General features: G+C 43.9%; 1 protein-coding gene across 22 annotated transcripts in view, besides 1 other annotated feature; it reads right to left on the bottom strand.

The window, feature by feature from the left end:
- GRIK4 (glutamate ionotropic receptor kainate type subunit 4) overlaps positions 1 to 19,195 on the bottom strand; it is a 477,159-nt gene that overhangs the window by 220,415 nt on the left and 237,549 nt on the right. The window lies entirely within an intron of this gene.
- Positions 8,584 to 9,084: an enhancer, noted in NCBI's record as "NANOG-H3K4me1 hESC enhancer chr11:120630117-120630617 (GRCh37/hg19 assembly coordinates)". NCBI's record gives its function as "activates a minimal SCP1, AML or CMV promoter by ChIP-STARR-seq in naive H9 embryonic stem cells {active_cell/tissue: H9 hESC(naive)}" and the evidence as "EXISTENCE:reporter gene assay evidence [ECO:0000049][PMID:30033119]".

Here is a 19,195-nt window from a genome sequence, read left to right as displayed (position 1 = left end):
ACAGACGACATGATCCTATATGTAGAAAACTCGAAAGTTTTAACCCACAAAAAAAACTGTTAGAATAAATGAATTCAGTAAAGTTGCAGTATACAAAATAAACAAAAATCAGCGGCATTTCTATGTACAAATAATGACTTGGCTGAAAAAGAAATCAAGAAAATGATCCCACAAAAATTGATAGCATCAAAAAACAAAATATCTAGGAATAAATGTAATCAAGGAGGTGAAAAATTTTTACACCAAAAGCTATAAGATGTTGATGAGAGAAATTGAAGAAGATAAACAAATAAATGGAAAGATATCCCATGTTAATGAATAAGAATAATATTGTTAAAATGCCCATACTACCCAAAGCAATACATAGGTTTAATAAAGCCCCTATTAAAATTCCAATGACATTCTTCATAGAAATAGAAAAACAACCCTAAAATTTCCATGGGATCACAAAAAAAAAAAACCCTTAATATCCAAAGCAGTACTGAGAAAGAAAAAGAAAGTTGGAAGCATCACACTTCCTGACTTAAGATTATATTACAAAGTTGTAGTAATCAAAACAGTATGGTACTGGCTAAAAACAGAAACACAGACCAATGGAACCAGAATGGAGAACCCAGAAATGAATCCAAACATAAACAGTCAACTGATTTTTGACAAGGGCACCAAGAGGACACAATGGGGAAATGATAGTCTCTTTAATAAATGGTGCTGAAAAACTGGATTTCCACATGCAAATGAATGAAATTGGACCCTTATCTTACACCACACACAAAAATAAACTCGAAATGCATAGAAGACATAAATGTAAGACCTGAAACCATAAGACTCTTGGAAAAGATCACAAAGAAAAAGCTCCTTGACACTGGCCTTAACAATGATTTTTTTGGATAGCACACCAAAAGCTCAGGCTACAAAAGCAAAAATAAATAAATGGGACTACATAAACTACAAAGCTTCTGTACAGCAAAATAAACAACAAAATGAAAAGGCAACCTACAGACTGGGAAAAAAAATATGTGCAAACCACATATCTGATAAGAAGTTGACATCCAAAATTTATTTTTAAAACTCTTATAAATTAATAGCAGAAAAACAAATAACCCAATTTAAAAATGGGCAAAGGACCAAACAGATGGTTCTCCCAAGAATACATACAAATGGCCAACAGATATATGAAAAAGTGCTCAAGATCACTTATCCTCAGGGAAATACAAATTAAAACCACGATTTCACTTCACAATTGTAAAAATGGCTATTATCAAATAGACAAAAGATAACAAGTGTTGGCAAGGGTGTGAAGAAAAGAGACCTCTAGTGCACTGTTTGGTGGGAACATGAATTGGTAACAGCCCTTATGGAAAATGGTATGGAGGTTCACCAAGAAATAAAAAATAGAACTACCATACAACTCAACAATCCCTCCTCTGGGTATATACCCAAAGAAGATGAAATCACTACCTTATAAAGATATTTCAACTGCCATGTTCATTGTACTATTAATCACAATAGCCAAGATATGGAAACAACCTACATATCCATTGGCAGACAAATGGATAAAGAAAATATAATACACGGATTCCTGGGCAAGATGGCTGAATATGAACAGCTCCAGTCTGCAGCTCCCAGCGAGACCAACGCAGAAGGCAGGTTATTTCTGTGTTTCCAACTGAGGTACCTGGTTCATTTCACTGGGATTGGTTAGACAGTGGGTGCAGCCCACAGAGGGCAAGCAGAAGCAGGGTGGGGTGTCGTCTCACCCAGGAAGTGCAAAGGGTCAGAGAACTACCTCCCCTAGCCAAGGGAAGCCATGAGGGACTGTGCTGTGAGGGACGGTGATATTTGGCCCAGATACTACGCTTTTCCCATGGTCTTTGCAACCCACAGAACAGGATATTCCCTCGGGTTCCTACACCACAAGGCCCCTGGGTTTCAAGCACGAAACTGGGCAGCCATTTGAGTAGACACCAAAGCTAGCTGCAGGAGTTTCTTTCATACCCCAGTGGTGCCTGGAATGCCAGCAACACAGAACCGTACACTCCCCTGAAAAGGGGGCTGATGCCAGGGAGCCAAGTGGTCTTGCTCAGTGGATCCCACCCTCACTGAGCCCAGCAAGCTAGGATCCACTGGCCTGAAATTCCCGCTGCCAGCACAGCAGTCTGAAGTCGACCTGGGATGCTCAGGCTTGGTGGGGGGAGGGGCGTTTGCCATTACTGAGGTTTGAGTGGGAGGTTTTCCCCTTACAGTGTAAACAAAGCCGCTGGGAAATTTGGACTGGGTGGAGCACACCACAGCGCTGCAAAGCCACTGCAGGCAGACTGCCTCTCTAGATTCCTCCTCTCTGGGCAAGGCATCTCTGAAAGAAAGGTAGCAGCCCCAGTCAGCAGCTTATAGATAAAACTCCCATCTCCCTGGGACAGAGCACCTGGGGGAAGGGGCGGCTGTGGGCACAACTTCAGCAGACTTAAACATTCCTGCCTGCCAGCTCTGAAGAGAGCAGTGGATCTCCCAGCACAGTGCTCAAGCTCTGCTAAGGGACAGACTGCCTTCTCAAGTGTGTCCCTGACCCCTGTGCTTCCTGATGGGGAGACACCTCCCAGCAGGGGTCGACAGACACCTCATACAGGAGAGCTCCAGCTGGCATCTGGCAGGTGCCCCTCTATGATGAAACTTCCAGAGGAAGGAGCAGGCAGCAATCTTTGCTGTTCTGCAGCCTCTGCTGGTGATACCCAGGCAAACAGGGTCTTGAATGGACCTCCAGCAGACTTGCAGAAGAGAGGCCTGACTGTTAGAAGGAAAAATAACAAACAGAAAGCAACAACATCAACATCAACAAAAAGGACAACCACACAGAAACTCTATCTGAAGGTCACCAGCAGCAAAGACCAAAGGTAGATAAATCCACGAAGATGAGGAAAAACCAGCACAAAAAGGCTGAAAATTCCAAAAACCAGAATGCTGCTTCTCCTCCAAAGGGTCACAACTCCTCGTCAGCAAGGGAACAAAACCGGACGGAGAATGAATTTGACGAATTGATAGAAGTAGGCTTCAGAAGGTGGGTAATAACGAACTCCTCTGAGCTAAAGGAGCATGTACTAACCCAATGCAAGGAAGCTAAGAACCTCGATAAAAGGTTAGAGGAATTGTTAACTAGAATAACCAGTTTAGGAAAGAACATAAATGACCTGATGGAGCTGAAAAATACAGCACAAGAACTTAGTGAAGCATACACAAGGATCAATAGCCAAACCGATCAAGCAGAAGAAAGGATATCAGAGATTGAAGATCAACTTAATGAAATAAAGTGTGAAGACAAGATTAGAAAAAAAAGAATGAAAAGGAATGAACAAAGCCTCCAAGAAATATGGGACTATAAGAAAAGACAAAACCTACGTTTGATTGGTGTACCTGAAAGTGACGGGGAGAATGGAATCAAGTTGGAAAACACACATCAGGATATTATCCAGGAGAAGTTCCCCAACATAGCAAGACATGCCAACATGCAAATTCAGGAAATACAGAGAACACCACAAAGATACTCCTAGAGAAGAGCAACCCCAAGACACATAATCGTCAGATTTACCAAGGTTGAAATGAAGGAAAAAATGTTAAGGGCAGCCAGAGAGAAAGGTCGGGTTACCCACAAAGGGAAGCCCATCAGACTAACAGCAGATCTCTCTGCAGAAACCCTACAAGCCAGAAGAGAGTGGGGGCTAATATTCAACATTCTTAAAGAAAAGAATTTTCAATCCAGAATTTCATATCCAGCCAAACTAAGCTTCATAAGTAAAAGAGAAATAAAATCCTTTATACACAAACAAATGCTGAGGGATTTTATCACCACCAGGCCTGCCTTACAAGAGCTCCTGAAGGAAGCACTAAAAAGGAAAAAAAAAACAAAAACAAAAAACTGGTATCAACCACTGCAAAAACAAACCAAAATGTAAAGCCCATCAACACTATGAAGAAACTGCATCAACTAATGGGCAAAATAACCAGCTAGCATCATAATGGCAGGATCAAATTCACACATAACAATATCAACCTTAAATGTAAATGGGCTAAATGCCCCAATTAAAAGGCACAGACTGGCAAATTGGATAAAGAGTCAAGACCCATCGGTGTGCTGTATTCAGGAGACCCATCTCACATGCAAAGACACACGTGGGCTCAAAATAAAGGGATGGAGGAAGCTTTACCAAGCAAATGGAAAGCAAAAAAACAGCAGGGTTGCAATCCTAGTCTCTGATAAAACAGACTTTAAACCAACAAAGATCAAAAAAGACAAAGAAGGACATTACATAATGGTAAAGGGATCAATGCAACAAGAAGAGCTAACTATCTAAATATATATGCACCCAATACAGGAGCACCCAGATTCATAAAGCAAGTTCTTAGAGACCCACAAAGAGACTTAGACTCCCATACAATAATAGTGGGAGACTTCGACACTCCACTGTCAATATTAGACAGATCAACGAGACAGAAAATTAACAAGGATATTCAGGACTTGAACTCAACTCTGGACCAAGCGAACCTAACAGCCACCTACAGAACTCTCTACCCCAAATCAACAGAATATACATTCTTCTCAGTACCACATAGCACTTATTCTAAAATTGACCACATAATTGGAAGTAAAACACTCCTCAGCAAATGCAAAAGAATGGAAATCATAACAAACAGTCTCTCAGACCACAATGCAATCAAATTAGAACTCAGAATTAAGAAACTCACTGAAAACTGCACAACTACATGGAAACTGAACAACCTGCTCCTGAATGACTACTGGGTAAATAATGAAATTAAGGCAGAAATAAATAAGTTCTTTGAAACCAATGAGAACAAAGACACAACGTACCAGAATCTCTGGGACAAAGCTAAAGCAATGTTTAGAGGGAAATTTATAGCACAAAATGCCCAAAGGAGAAAGCAGGAAAGATCTAAAAATTGACACCCTAACATCACAATTAAAAGAACTAGAGAAGCAAGAGCAAACAAATTCAAAAGCTAGCAGAAGACAAGAAATAACTAAGATCAGAGCAGAACTGAAGGAGATAGAGGCATGAAAAACCCTTCCAAAAATCAGTGAATCCAGGAACTGGTTTTTTGAAAAGACTAACAAAATAGATAGACCACTAACCAGACTAATAAAGAAAAAGACAGAAGAATCAAATAGACACAATAAAAAATGATAAAGGGGGGATCACCACTGATCCCAAAGAATACGAACTACCATCAGAGAATACTATAAACACCTCTATGCAAATAAACTAGAAAATCTAGAAAAAAATGGATAAATTCCTGGACACATAAACCCTCCCAAGACTAAACCAGGAAGAAGTTGAATTCCTGAATAGACCAATAACAAGTTCTAAAATTGAGGCAGTAATTAATAGCCTACCAACCATAAAAAGCCCAGGACAAGACAGATTCACAGCTGAATTCTACCAGAGGTAGAAAAAGGAGCTGGTACCATTCCTTCTGAAATTATTCCAAACAATAGAAAAAGGGGGACTCCTCCCTATCTCATTTTATGAGCCCAGCATCATCCTGATACCAAAATCTGGCAGAGACACAACAACAACAAAAAAAGAAAATTTCAGGCCAATATTCCTGATGAACATCGATTCAAAAATCCTCAATAAAATACTAACGAACCAAATCCAGCAGCACATCAAGAAGCTTATCCACCATGATCAAGTTGGCTTCATCCCTGGGATGCAAGGCTGGTTCAATATATGCAAATCAATAAACGTAATCCAACACATAAACAGAACCAATGACAAAAACCACATGATTATCTCAATAGATGCAGAAAAGGCCTTTGATAAAATTCAATACCCCATCATGCTAAAAACACTCAATAAACTAGGTATTGATGGAACGTATCTCAAAATAATAAGAGCTACTTATGACAAACCCACAGCCAATATCTGAATGGGCAAAAGCTGGAAGCATTCCCTTTGAAAACCAGCACAAGACAAGGATGCCCTCTCTCACCACTCCTATTCAACACAGTATTGGAAGTTCTGGCCAGGGCACTCAGGCAAGAGAAAGAAATAAAGGGTATTCAAATAGGAAGAGAGGAAGTCAAATTATTTCTGTTTGCAGATGACATGATTGTGTATTTAGAAAACCCCATTGTCTGAGTCCAAAAACTCCTTAAGCTGATAAGCAACTTCAGCAAAGTCTTAGGATACAAAATCAATGTGCAAAAATCACAGGCATTCCTATACACCAATAATAGACAAACAGAGAGCCAAATCATGAGCAAACTCCCATTCACAATTGCTATAAAGAGAATAAAATACCTAGGAATACAACTTACAAGGGATGTGAAGGACCTCTTCAAGGAGAACTACAAACCACTGCTCAAGGAAATAAGAGAGGACACAAACGGAAAAACATTCCATGCTCATGGATAGGAAGAATATCATGAAAATGGCCATACTACCCAAAGTAATTTATAGATTCAATGCTATTAACATCAAGCCACCATTGACTTTCTTCACAGAATTAGAAAAAATTACTTTAAATTTAATATGAAAGCAAAAAAGAGTCCGTATAGCCAAGGCAATCCTATGCAAAAAGAACAAAGCTGGAGGCATCATGCTACCTGACTTCAAACTATGCTACAAGGCTAAAGTAACCAAAATAGCATGGTACTGGTACTAAAACAGATATATAGACGAATGGAACAGAACAGAGGCCTCAGAAATCATGCCACACATCTACAACTATCTGATCTTTGACAAACCTGACAAAAACAAGCAATGGGAAAAGGATTCCCTACTTAACAAATGGTGGTGAGAAAACTGGCTAGCCATATACAGAAAACTGAAACTGGACCCCTTCCTTACACCTTATACAAAAATTAACTCAAGATGAATTAAACACTTAAATGTAAGACCTGAAACCATAAAAACTCTAGAAGAAAACCTAAGCAATACCATGCAGGACATAGGCATGGGCAAAGATTTCATGACTAAAACACCAAAAGCAATGGCAACAAAAGCCAAAATTGACAAATGGGATCTAATTAAACTAAAGAGCTTCTGCATAGCAAAACAAACTATCATCAGAGTGAACAGGGAACCTGTAAAATGGGAGAAAATTTTTGCAATCTATCCATCTGACAAAAGGCTAATATCCAGAATCTACAAGGAACTTAAACAAACTTACAAGAAAAAAACAAACAACCCCATCAAAAAGTGGGCGAAGGATATGAACAGACTCTTTGCAAAAGAAGACATTTATGTGGCCAACAAACACATGAAAAAAAGCTCACCATCACTGGTCATTAGAGAAATTCAAATCAAAACCACAATGAGATACCATCTCATGCTACTTAGAATGACGATCATTAAAAAGTCAGGAAACAACAGATGCTGGAGAGGATGTGGAGAAATAGGAACGTTTTTACACTGTTGGTGGGAGTCTAAATTAGTTCAACCATTGTGGAAGACAGTGTGGCGATTCCTCAAGGATCTAGAGCTAGAAATACCATTTGACCCAGCAATCCCATTACTGGGTATATACCCAAAGACTGTAAATCATTCTACTCTAAAGATACGTGCACACATATGTTTACTGCAGCACTATTCACAATAGCAAGGACTTGGAACCAACCCAAATGCCCATCAATGACAGACTGAATAAAAAAAAAATGTGGCACATATACACCATGGAATACTGTGTAGCCATAAAAAAAGAATGAGTTCGTGTCCTTTGCAGGGACATGGATGAAGCTGGAAACCATTATTCTCAGCAAACTAACACAGGAACAGAAAACCAAACACTGCATGTTCTCACTCATAAGTGGGAGTTGAACAATGAGAACGTTGGGCACAGGGAGGGGAACATCAGACACTAGGGCCTGTCGGGGGTTGGGAGTCTAGGTGAGGGATAGCATTAGGAGAAATACCTAATGTAGATGACGGGTTGATGGGTGCAGCAAACCACCATGGCACATGTATACCTATGTAACAAACCTGCACGTTCTGCACATGTATCCCAGAACTTAAAGTATAATAAAAAAGAAAAGTATATATATATATGTATATATATGTTTATATATGTATATCTATGTTTATATATATGTATATATATGTTTATATATATATAAAATATTCCATTGTGTGTATATATATATTATTCAACTTTAGAAAAGGAGATCTTGCTATTTGTTACAACATGGACGGACCTAGAGAACAATATGCTAAGTGAATAAGCTAGACAGAGAGACAAATATTGCATTATCTCAGTTATATGTAGAATATTTTTATAAAGAAGAACTCACATACACAGAGAATAAAACAGTGGTTATCACAGGTGGGGATAAGGGGGAGAAGAAACAATAGGGAGACATAAGTCTAAGAATACAAAATGGCAGGTATGTAGGATGAACACGTTTAGAGACCTAACGTACAATGTGAGGATTAAAATCTACTTATTTAACAAAAATCTCTAATATAAAGTGTGTTATATTAGAGATTTTTGTTAAATAAGTAGATTTTAGCTGCTCTTGTCATAAAAAGTATGTGTGATAATAGACATGTTAATCTGCTTCACTATAGCAACCATCTTACTATCTATATGTATCCCCTAACATCATGTTGTAAGCCTCAAATATATACAATAAAAAATTTATTTTAAAAAAAGATTCTAGGAAAAAAAGAAGTCATAACAGAGACCATATGGCCCACAAAGCCTAAAATATTTACTATCTGGCCCTTCATGGAAAAACTCTGCCAATCGCTGGGTCTAAGTCAATCACAGTAATCCCATTTCCCTTACCAGTATTTTGGTTTGTTTTGTTTTGCTTTGCTTTTAAGAACCCAGACTAAGTCAATCAGAGCCAGGCATTCCCCCATGACAATAATCAGTTCAGGGTGGTTAAGTGAGCCAGATTGGCCCCATTAAGACTTGAGGGAAGACTTTGGTTCTTACTCTCATGTTAGACTTGAAAAAAAAAAAATGCTACTGATAGCCCACAATACAATACAAAGGGAATCCAATCTTGGGAGAAGCCAATCTTGGAGAGAAAGCCAATCTTGGGAGAAAGCTGAGGCTGTGGACAGTGGAGTGAAGAGACTGGAAAGCCTGAATCTGATGTCCCTGAGCCACCAGGACAAACAATGCTGACAGCCTCCCTGGCCCCTGCCTGCCTCTAGACCTCCTACTGTGGAAGCCAATTCATTTACTTGGCATTTTAGCTGCTTTCGGTTTAGTTTTCTGTGACTTGCAACCAAAAGCTTCTCTCTGACCCTGACCATTTGCACATACTGTTCCCTCTGCCCAGAAAGCTCTCCACTCCCCAGCTCTTGCTTGCCTGGCTAACTTCTACTACTCATCTATCAAGCTTCAAAATAAATAGCAGTGTCACAGGAAGGCCATCCTGTGGCCTCCTGGACGAAGTAATATCCCTGTGCTATGCACCATCCCTGTCCACAGTACCCTTGACTCTCTCTTTTGTAACACACATCACTTATCTATTATTATGTGTTTATCCCTGCCTTCCCTGCTAGTCTTGGATATAAGCCAAGGCCATGCTTGTCTTGTTCTCTACTGTATCCCCAGTGCCTAGCACAGTGCCTGGCAATTAGGTGCTGACTAAACTGCACAAGGAACAGCATTTCCCAGACTATGTTTCACGGAATACCAGTGTCCCTTGAGAAGTTGGTAGATAAGACACCAAGACACTCCCATTTATAGATGCCCACTATAGACCAATTAACAGCTGGTGATTATTTTTAGCTGCCCTCTCCCTTTGTCTTCTGTAATGTTTCACTCCAGTGTCCTGAATAGACTATATATTATTAATAGATGGTCACCCTCTTGTTATTAGAAGTTCCAGGTGTAACACCTAAATAATTTCAAGAATCATTTAGATGATTCTAAGCAGTGGCCTTTACTACGGGATTTCTCAGAGACACGGTTACAGTGCTGACCCTGCAATGGTGCCACGGGAGGTGGGCAATGCTGGAGCCCTGGTTATGAGCCTCTAAGAGGTGAATATATATAAAATGCAGCATTTCCCAAACTTATTTGATGGCACACTTTTCTCTAAACCAAGTAGCATCTTACGAGACTCTAGAGCTGGAAAAAAAGAAAAAAAAGTTTATGAAACCTACTGGCTTAGGGCCTTTGGGAAAAGACAAACGTAGAGGCAGAGCATGAAGAAGCCCTCTGAGGTATCCGTAGAAATCAACTGATTTGCTAAAGACTCCAGAATCACAGATGTTAGGCACAGGGGCCCCCCAGGTCCTCAGGATGGGTACAATGAAGCAGAGTGAAAGAGAGGGGTGTAGGGTCTTGCACCCACTGTTCTGCTGCATGGGATCGTGTGCCACCTTGCTTCCAGAGTGGTGTGAGGGGCATGGACTGTGCTGCACTGAGCCTTAAGGAATGCCCAGGGAAATGGATGCAGAGGGGTCACCTGGGGGCCAAGTGATCCCCACTTGGCATCTCAGCCTAACGCCCACTCCTGGGCTAGGAGCTAAAACCAATCCAAGAAGCTTGGACATCAGTCTCTACATCATCAATCCCATGGACTGTAAATAATTTGCAGTCTCTCACTGAGGCAGAGCCAAGGACTGCTCCAGTGGAGAAGCTGAAGCTTCAGGTTCCCTTCATGTTTTCCCAACACACCCTGTGCGGGGTGGGAACGGAGTGATCCTGCCCTCCGAAGCCCAGAGGGAAGGAATCCCATGGAATCCCCCAATCCAAACTCTCCTCCGCAGATAACTGAGACTTAGTAACGGCCCCTGATCACTGAGGGAGAACTGGTGGCTCCATGCCCAATTCGGCAAACCAGTATTTCTAGAGCCCAAGCCCTATTTTGAAATCCAAAAAAATAAAATATAGGGGTCTGGAAGAGATTGAGGTTTCACTGCCTTCTGCCAGACCCAGGGAACTCTTCTCCCTTTCACAGCTGTGGAGGTGGACAGATTCTCTAGAAAGAGATATTAATGGCTACTGAGCCCTCCCTGGGCCACATGTCATCCTTGCTATTTTCCATACTCTAAGTCTTTTTGCCTCCCAACCCCACCGTGTGACAGGTAGTACTATCACCCACATTTCACAGATAAGGCACGTGAGGCTCAGAGAAGTCAGAGAACTTGCCCAAAGACACAGCCAGAGAGAGACAGAGCTGAGGTTTGGCTAAAAGCCCATGCTACTCCCATTGGCCACACCACCTTCTGGACGCCCCAAGGCAGGTATCCTGGCCCAGCAGACACAACCTCACTTATGCTGCCCAGTGGCCCTTGACATTTTTATCTCCCTAGAGGCTGCTTTCAGGGAGTCCAGCAGTATCTCTGTGGGGCTGGTGGCTCCTAGTGGCCAAGTGTGTGCCTCCAAAACCTCTCAGGCCAACTCTGGGAGTCTCTTACCCTGCTCAGTGAGGAGGCAGCTCCACGATGCTGCTGCTGTGTCAGTGAGAAAAGACACTCACGGGCCATCAAACTGATGAGCACACACTTGATTCACTCAAGGGTGAAATCCTTCACCTCCTTCAAGATCAGAAAAATCAGCTCCACTGACCTGTGTTCTTCAGGCAGGAGGCAAGCTGGGCAGGGGCTGGCTGGGCTGGCTGCAGGTGCACAGCACAGTGGGAGGTGGTTGAAAGAGAGATGAGTTATCCAGGCTGCAAAAAGCCTGCAGAGAAGCTGCCAGGGACAGCCCCACCTGTGTCCCAGCCTCAGGGCCTGGATGCTCCCCTATACTTATTCCCTGCCTCTTAAATAATAAAAACATCCAGGAGTCTCAGTGTCAGGATCTGAGCTCTGTGTCCCCTATAGATCAATGGAAAATATGGAAGATCCACAGGATGAGACTACTGGGGTCCATTTGCACAAGAGACAAAAGGCAGTGATGGTAAACTTAGTTTAAGAGTTATGAAGAGTTGACAGGAAGAGAAATAATTTGGAGTCCAGTATGGCTCATGGACCTCAGCCCTTTGAGCCAAGTCTTAGAGAGCATGCAATAAAGAACAACCACAAACAAGAGAGGGGTTTTCTTTAGGATACTAGGCTTTTAAGGCAGCCCAGTTTCCTTCCCTGTAGGGCAGTATGTGGCACAGGACACTGGGGAACATTTTACCCCCATCAGAACACCACAGAGGCCTTAAGGGTCAAGAGTTAGAGATGGGCACAGAGCCCCTGGGATCCACAGAGGGGCAAGAGCAGGCTAGGACATGGGGTCCCAGCCATCTTGCTGGAGGGGGAGGAGCATAGTATATAGCGTGGGCACACACATGTCTGACAAATGAAAATATACCTTCAGACTATTATTCCTAAGGGTGGTGTAGCCTGGAGAAACCAACGTTGCAACAGCAATGCCATATATTGGTTTAGGGTGGTGCAGGTGACCAAGTGCTCAACCATCCTGGGGCAGATAGCATCAGTCCTACCTGATGAGGGACACCAAGCTTACACTGCTGGGATCCAGTCAGGTCTGGAGTCCAACACACAGAACAGAGTCTCATGATGCTGGAGACAGAACACCTCTGTCCTAATCCTAATCTCAAAAATTAGTAATTGTCACTCTGGGCAAGTCACTTAACCTCCCCAAGTTACAGTTTCCTCATCTGTAAATGGTGACAATAATAGTTTACCTACCAGGCTATCATGAGATGATAAAATGTCCTAGACTCTTCCAGGAGCAGCAGAAGGCATCCACCCCAACTCTCCCTGGAGGGTAGGAGGGCAAGGCCAATCACATTGTCTGTTAGCATGGAAATAAAAGCCATAAAGGCTTGAGGGACCTTCACAAGCAGGCTCTTTTCCTAAATAGTTTTCATTGTTGATTTGCATAGTAAATTATTTTTATTATTATTATTATTATTATTTATTATCTTTGGTGTTTTTTTATTTTTTTGAGACAAGGTCTTGCTTGCCTCTGTCACCCAGGGTGGAGTGCAGTGGTGTGATCACCACTCACTGCAGCCTCAGCCTCCCAGGCTCAAGTGATCCTCCCACCTCAGCCTCCCAAGTAGCTAAGACTAAGTGCTGCCATGACTGGCTATTTTATTTTTCTTCAAATTTTTTGTAGAGATGAGGTCTCACTAGGTTGCCCAGGCTCATCTTGAACTCCTGGGCTCTAGCAATCCTCCCACATCGGCCTCCAAAGTGCTGGGATTATAGGTGTGAGCCACCGAGTAAATGCTTTTTAAACAGTTAGCTCTTCCTTCCCCAGGGCTCCCTGAGCACCTGGCTCTGCCATTAGCGCTCAGGCCCTTGGCTCCCATGGTGCAATTGTGTTCTCCTCACCACACACTGTGGCTGTAAAGGCAGGACTCAGCTCTGTTCACCTCTCTACCCCCAGGGCCTGGCACAGTCTTTGACTATAGACAGTCTCAATAACTGTTGAAAGAATAAACTTTGAACCTCTGCCCTGACCCATTCCAAATTACCAGAGTCCAAATTAATGATGTTTCATTGTAATTAACACTGACATCGTTTGCAGTTCGGATTCAGATGTGTTCCTTCAAAGGACACTGTGAAGAAAGTAAAAAGACAGCCTACCAATGACAGAAAATATTTGCAAATCATATAAATGATAAGGGGTTATACCTAGAATATAGAAAGAACTCTTACAACTTAATAAAAAGACAAATAACCCAATTAAAAAGGGGCAAAAAATCTGAACAGACAGATCTCCAAAGATGATATAAAAATGGTCAGTAAGCACATGAAAAGATCCTCAACATCATTAGACTTAGGGAAATACAAATCAAAACCATGTGAGACAGAATGCAGAGAAATTAGAACCCTCATACATTGCTGGTGGGAATGTAAAACGGGGCAGCCACTTTGGAGAGCAGTCTGGAGTTCCCCAAAGGATAAAATATAGATTTACCATATGATTAGCAATTCTACTCCTAGGTATATATCCAAGAGAATCGAAAACATGTGTCCACCTAAAAACATATACATGAATGTTCACAGCAGCATCATTCATAATAGACAAAAAGTGGAAAAAAACCCAAATATCTATGAACTGATTAACAAATAAAATGTGGTAGAGCCATACAATGGAATATTATTCAGCCATGAAAGGAAATGAATTATTGACACACGCTACAACCCGGATGAGCCTTGAACACATTATGCCATGTGAAGAATGCCAGACACAAAAGGCCACACATTGTCTGATTCCATTTAAATGAAATGTCCAAGGGCCAGGCACAGTGCTTCACGCCTATAATCCCAGCACTTTGGGAGGCTGAGGCAGGCAGATGATGAGGTCAAGAGTTCAAGACCAGCCTGGCCAATCTACTAAAAATACAAAAATTAGCTTGGCACGGTGGCGGGCGCCTGTAATCCCAGCTACTTGGGAGGCTGGGGCAGGAGAATCACTTGAACTCGGGAAGTGGAGGTTGCAATGAGTCAAGTCACGCCACTGCATTCCAGCCTGAGTGACACAGCAAGACTCCGTCTCCAAAAAAAAGAGAAATGTCCAAAATCCGCAAATCTAAAGACACAGAAAGTACATGAGCAGTTGGCAGGGGCTGGGATGAATGGGGACAATGAGGAGTGATAGCTCAAGGGGATGGGCTTTCTTCTTGGGGTGCTGAAAAAATTGGAAAAGTGATTGTGATGAAGCTTGCCTAACGGTTAAATACATTAAAATACATTAAAAACCATTACACTGTGCACTTTAAATGGGTGCATTATATGTTATGTAAATTCATCTCAGCACAGCTGTTTAAAAAACAAAACAAAAAGGAAAAACAGATTCTGGTGTCTTCGTTATTCTCAAGCCTCTAATTTTGAAAGACAAGGGCCGGCATCATCTCTTACCTGTTGTCTCCCCCACAGCACCTAAGATTGGGCTGGATGTAGAATAACTACTCATATATTTGTTGAATTGAAAATGATGACTGTTTTGCCAAAAAAGGAAAATAGGGTATGTAGTCTCTCATTCAAATTCAACACCATCAGGGAAACAGTCTCCTAAAATCTACATAGGACTTGTTGGGATACGCATGATCCCAATTTTACAGAAAAGGAAACTGAAGGTCACTTAAATTGCTTGTCTGAGGCCGCTCAGCCAATGAGTGACAAAGGTAGAATTAGGTTCTAGTCTCTCCTGACCTGTTTGATTTTCCCACCCTAATTCACTTTGTCTTCCCCTAGCCACCCTGCACACACACACACACACACACACACACACACACACACACACACACAGAGTTGTGTTGTCTGATTGCTCAACTGCTGGCCCAGGCTTTGGCCTCTGCTCCCCAGCCTTAAGCCGGAGGCCCCTCAGGCTCCGCACCAAATTCTTCCAATTCACCTGCATTTCTATTCTGCTCTGAATAAAGTTGGGCAAAACTCCAGAGCTTTCTTGCCCATTTTCTCCAAACCACCCATCCGTGCTCAGCTGCTCTCCTGTAAAGGACACGATGAGGTGAGCAGTGATGCCTCATTCGGGAGTCCCCATCCAGCTGAGCACCATCTTCCCTCAGGACCACTTCCTTGAAGGCCACAAGGGAGAGGGTGGGACTGGCCCACGAGGAGGCACCTCCAGGCCATCTTCCGGCCTAGGCCCACGGCTGTGCTCTCCTGCCTCCGTCCCTCGCTTGGAGGGAGCCTCCTCTGACTTGACTATGGAGGAGGGTGAACAGGCTTAGAAACCCACTGTGGGTCACTAATCACTGCTATGCTTCATGCCTCAGCTGTGCAAACAGTGACAACAGGTGGCCCTCGAGCAGAGCCAAAGAGGAGCAAGGCCAGTGTAGACAGCTTTGGGCTGGGGGGCAGGAGACTGGGTCCCCACCCTGACCTGTCTAAAAAGCTGTGTGCTCCCTCCTCCCTGAGAGCTGCAGGGAGGGTGGAAAGTAAAATCAACTAATGAAAATGGGAAAACTTTAAAAGGAATGAAAAAACATAAACTAGATGATGTTTAAGGGGCATCAGGCCAACACTGTTAAACTCTCTTTGACTGTGAGAAGACCCTCTGGGCTCAGGGAAGGGGTGGATCTCTCCATTTCCCACCCAAGCTGGGGTCACTATGGCTTTTGTAACAGCTCTTAGACAGGGGCCTGCCCACCTTGGCGGGCTGTGTGACTCTGGCTGTGGCTCTGTCCCTCCAGATGTCAGTATCAGATCATGGGGGGGCTCTGCTGACGTGGCTTCCCTAGCAAGGTTACAGATTCTGCTCTGACCCAGTTGCCTCAAAACTCTGCAAGTAGAGTTGTGGCTTCATTTGCAGGGATCTCTTCCTAAAAACAGCAGCCTTTTGAGACTGAAGAGCTAGATTTTAAATCAGACCTCCTGCTCCCTGGCTGACAGACTTGGGCAGGCCCCGGTTGCCCTGAGTGTCTGTTCCTCACTGGTCACAAGAAGTTGGTGATCTCTTCTTCACAGGTTGTGGGAGGATGCACGAGACCCTTCACAGGTTGTGGGAGGATGCTGGTCAGGGCTTGGTGGGGTGCACAGCTGCCCTGTCACCCTGCAGGGAACACCCGGCATCTTACTATTAATAGCTCCTCCAGCTCACACCTTGGAAGAGGGTCCTCAGAGGGTGTCTCCCCACCCCCCAGCCGCAAGCTGGTGGTACAGATTCCTGAGATCCCCTCCCGACATACCACAGCAGCCTTGGCAAGGAGATCCAGGAACCTTCACCGGGAGAAGCTTCCCAGGATCATCCTCCCACTCAGCACCGAGGACTGCTGCTGAGGGGAGCACAGGAGCCAGCCCGGAAGCCCAGCAGGGCTTGGGAGGAAGGAGCAGGCCCTTCACCGAAGATGCTGCTGACGTCAAGTCAGCACAGAAGGTCTAGAGAAACCTGCAGAATCGTTTCCTGGTGGGAACATGGTCTGCTTTTATTGCATCCAGGTGGCTGTCCGACTGTGTGTCTGACTTGTCTGCTTCCTCCAGAACCTGGGCCCAGAAACCTGCCCTTCCCCCAAACCCACCCAGAGCCTGGCAGGGAGGGGCTCCTGGGGACTCTATGCAGAACCCAACAAAGCAATCACTTCCCTCTCAGAGCACAGGCTTATGGGAGTCTGCTTGGCAGCCTTATCGGCCATTTATTTTATTTATTTTATTTCATAAAGCTACCGATAGGACTTCCTATGCAAATGACTCCCAGATGAGATGCAAATTGGGATTTGGAGCCAAGAACCGCTAAGGCTTTTTTGTTTTTCCTTTTTCTTTTCTTTTATATTGGAATGGCACTGTGGCACCTCCTGCCTCTTCCTCTGCCCTCTGCCTGGCAGCTTCCTTGCCACGTGCTTCCCACTGGCAAGGCTCTGCCTGCCCCTGCCAGGCACGGGTTCTGAGCTGACCACAGAGAGCTTGTTAATTGTGCTTGAAGTAGGGAGTCTGGGTGGTGAGCAAGCCTGGGGGGCCATGCCAAGGTGAAAAGAATCGCTCCCTCTCTACTGCGCTTCTCACACTGGGGTCTTCCCACCCTGTGTCCCCTGTACACAGGTCAACTTAGATGCAGGTGTGCAGACAGGAACCCTCCGCAATTAACTTTCACGTTGCAAAAGGCTTTACTGCACATGTGTTCCTCAGGAGCCTATAGATCTGGGTTCAAATCCTGACACAACCACTAACCCACTGTGTGATCTGAATTTAATTTATCCGAGTTTCACTTCCTCATCTGTGATGAGGGTAACAATGCCTACTTTCTGATTTGGTGAAGAGTCCATGGAAGCATCTGTCCAAGGTACTCAGTCCAGCATCCATTACAAAATAGCTCATCAATAGATTATTATGACATTAATTAAATGGAACACAGAGTACCTCACTTTGGAGAGCCTGTGTTCTAGATGAGGAAGTAACAGAATGATAGAAACAGAGGTTTCCAGGCCGGGGGTGGCAGCTCACGCCTGTAATCCCATCACTTCGGGAGGCCAAGGTGGCCAGATCACTTGAGGTCAGGAGTTTGAGACCAGCCTGGCCAACATGGCAAAACCCCTTCTCTACTAAAAATACAAAAAAATTAACCAAGCACGGTGGCACATGCCTGTAATTCCAGCTACTTAGGAGGCTGAGGCAGGAGAATCACTTGAATCCGGGAGGCGGAGGCTGCAGTGACCTCAGATCACACCACTGCACTCCAGCCTGGACCACGGAGCGAGACTCTACATCCCCAGCCTCCAAAAAAAAAAAAAAAAAAAAAAAAGAGATTTCTAGTTTGTAGATCCCTTTTTTATAACCAGGGCAGGATTAGGGTGTACCAAGACTATGTCTTGGCAATTTGTTTTTTTCAATTCAGTGAACATGTTTTAATGACTACTGTGCGGGGACCAAATGAGAAACACTTGGCACTCAGGCTTAACACCCCCTCTTTCAGGGTTGCCATTGCCAGCCTGGGAGTCAAGAGCCACAGGTCCTGTCTCAACTCTGCCACAAAGTAGCCTGTGAACTCCAGCAAGTCACCTTCCTTCTCTGCCTCTGTTTCTTCACCTGTAAAATGAGGAGGCTAAACCAGGACCTCTGAGGCTCCTTCCAGTGCTAAAATTGGATTTTCTACCCAAGGCTGCTGGCCTGCCTTCTCTCCCTCACACAGCTAACAAAGCACATTAACAAATGGTTCTTGCATACATAGAAAACAACCCTAAACTCAGGACCCACTGCCAGATTGATTTATCTTTCTAATCTGTCAGCAAAAAATTAATAGCATAAAAGTAAATTTTAAAATGATTCTGAAACTTCCCCCCGCCCACCGCTGAGCCCATCAGTCCTTCTGTGGAGTCCCACCAAGGCTGAGATGCTGAAGGTTGTGCTGTGGGGCCCCTCCTCTACAACTGGCCTTCAAAAGAGCTCCCTACCACAAAGCAGCGCTGGCATTATTTACCATCTTCCTGCTGTCTGTCCTCTCAGAGGCTGTGCTCATTGTGCTTGGCTACACCCTCAATTCTCAGCTGGACGAACCCAGGCCTTTTGGTGTGATTCATTCTGGGGAGTTCCTCTGCTCTGTCTTGCACCTTCTCTTCCTGCCTGGAAAGCTCTACGGATTGCTCTGAGCCCAGCAGCCCAATGGCTTCCACAAAAGTGGGTGGCACAAGGACAGAAGTAGGACTGTTTGCTTCCCTGTGGCTCCTCGACACCATATGTGAGCTGGGCAGATAGAGGCTCTCGGGGCCCTGTTGCTGGCCCCCTCTCCCGACACCTGCCCATGGTGCCCTAGCCACAGAAGAGAGGAGGGGGCTTCTTTCTAGCCTGGCACCACAGCT

Source organism: Homo sapiens, chromosome 11, assembly GCF_000001405.40.
Source record: "Homo sapiens chromosome 11, GRCh38.p14 Primary Assembly".
NCBI classification, from domain to species: Eukaryota; Metazoa; Chordata; class Mammalia; order Primates; family Hominidae; genus Homo; species Homo sapiens.
This window is presented reverse-complemented; position numbering and strand designations above follow the sequence as displayed.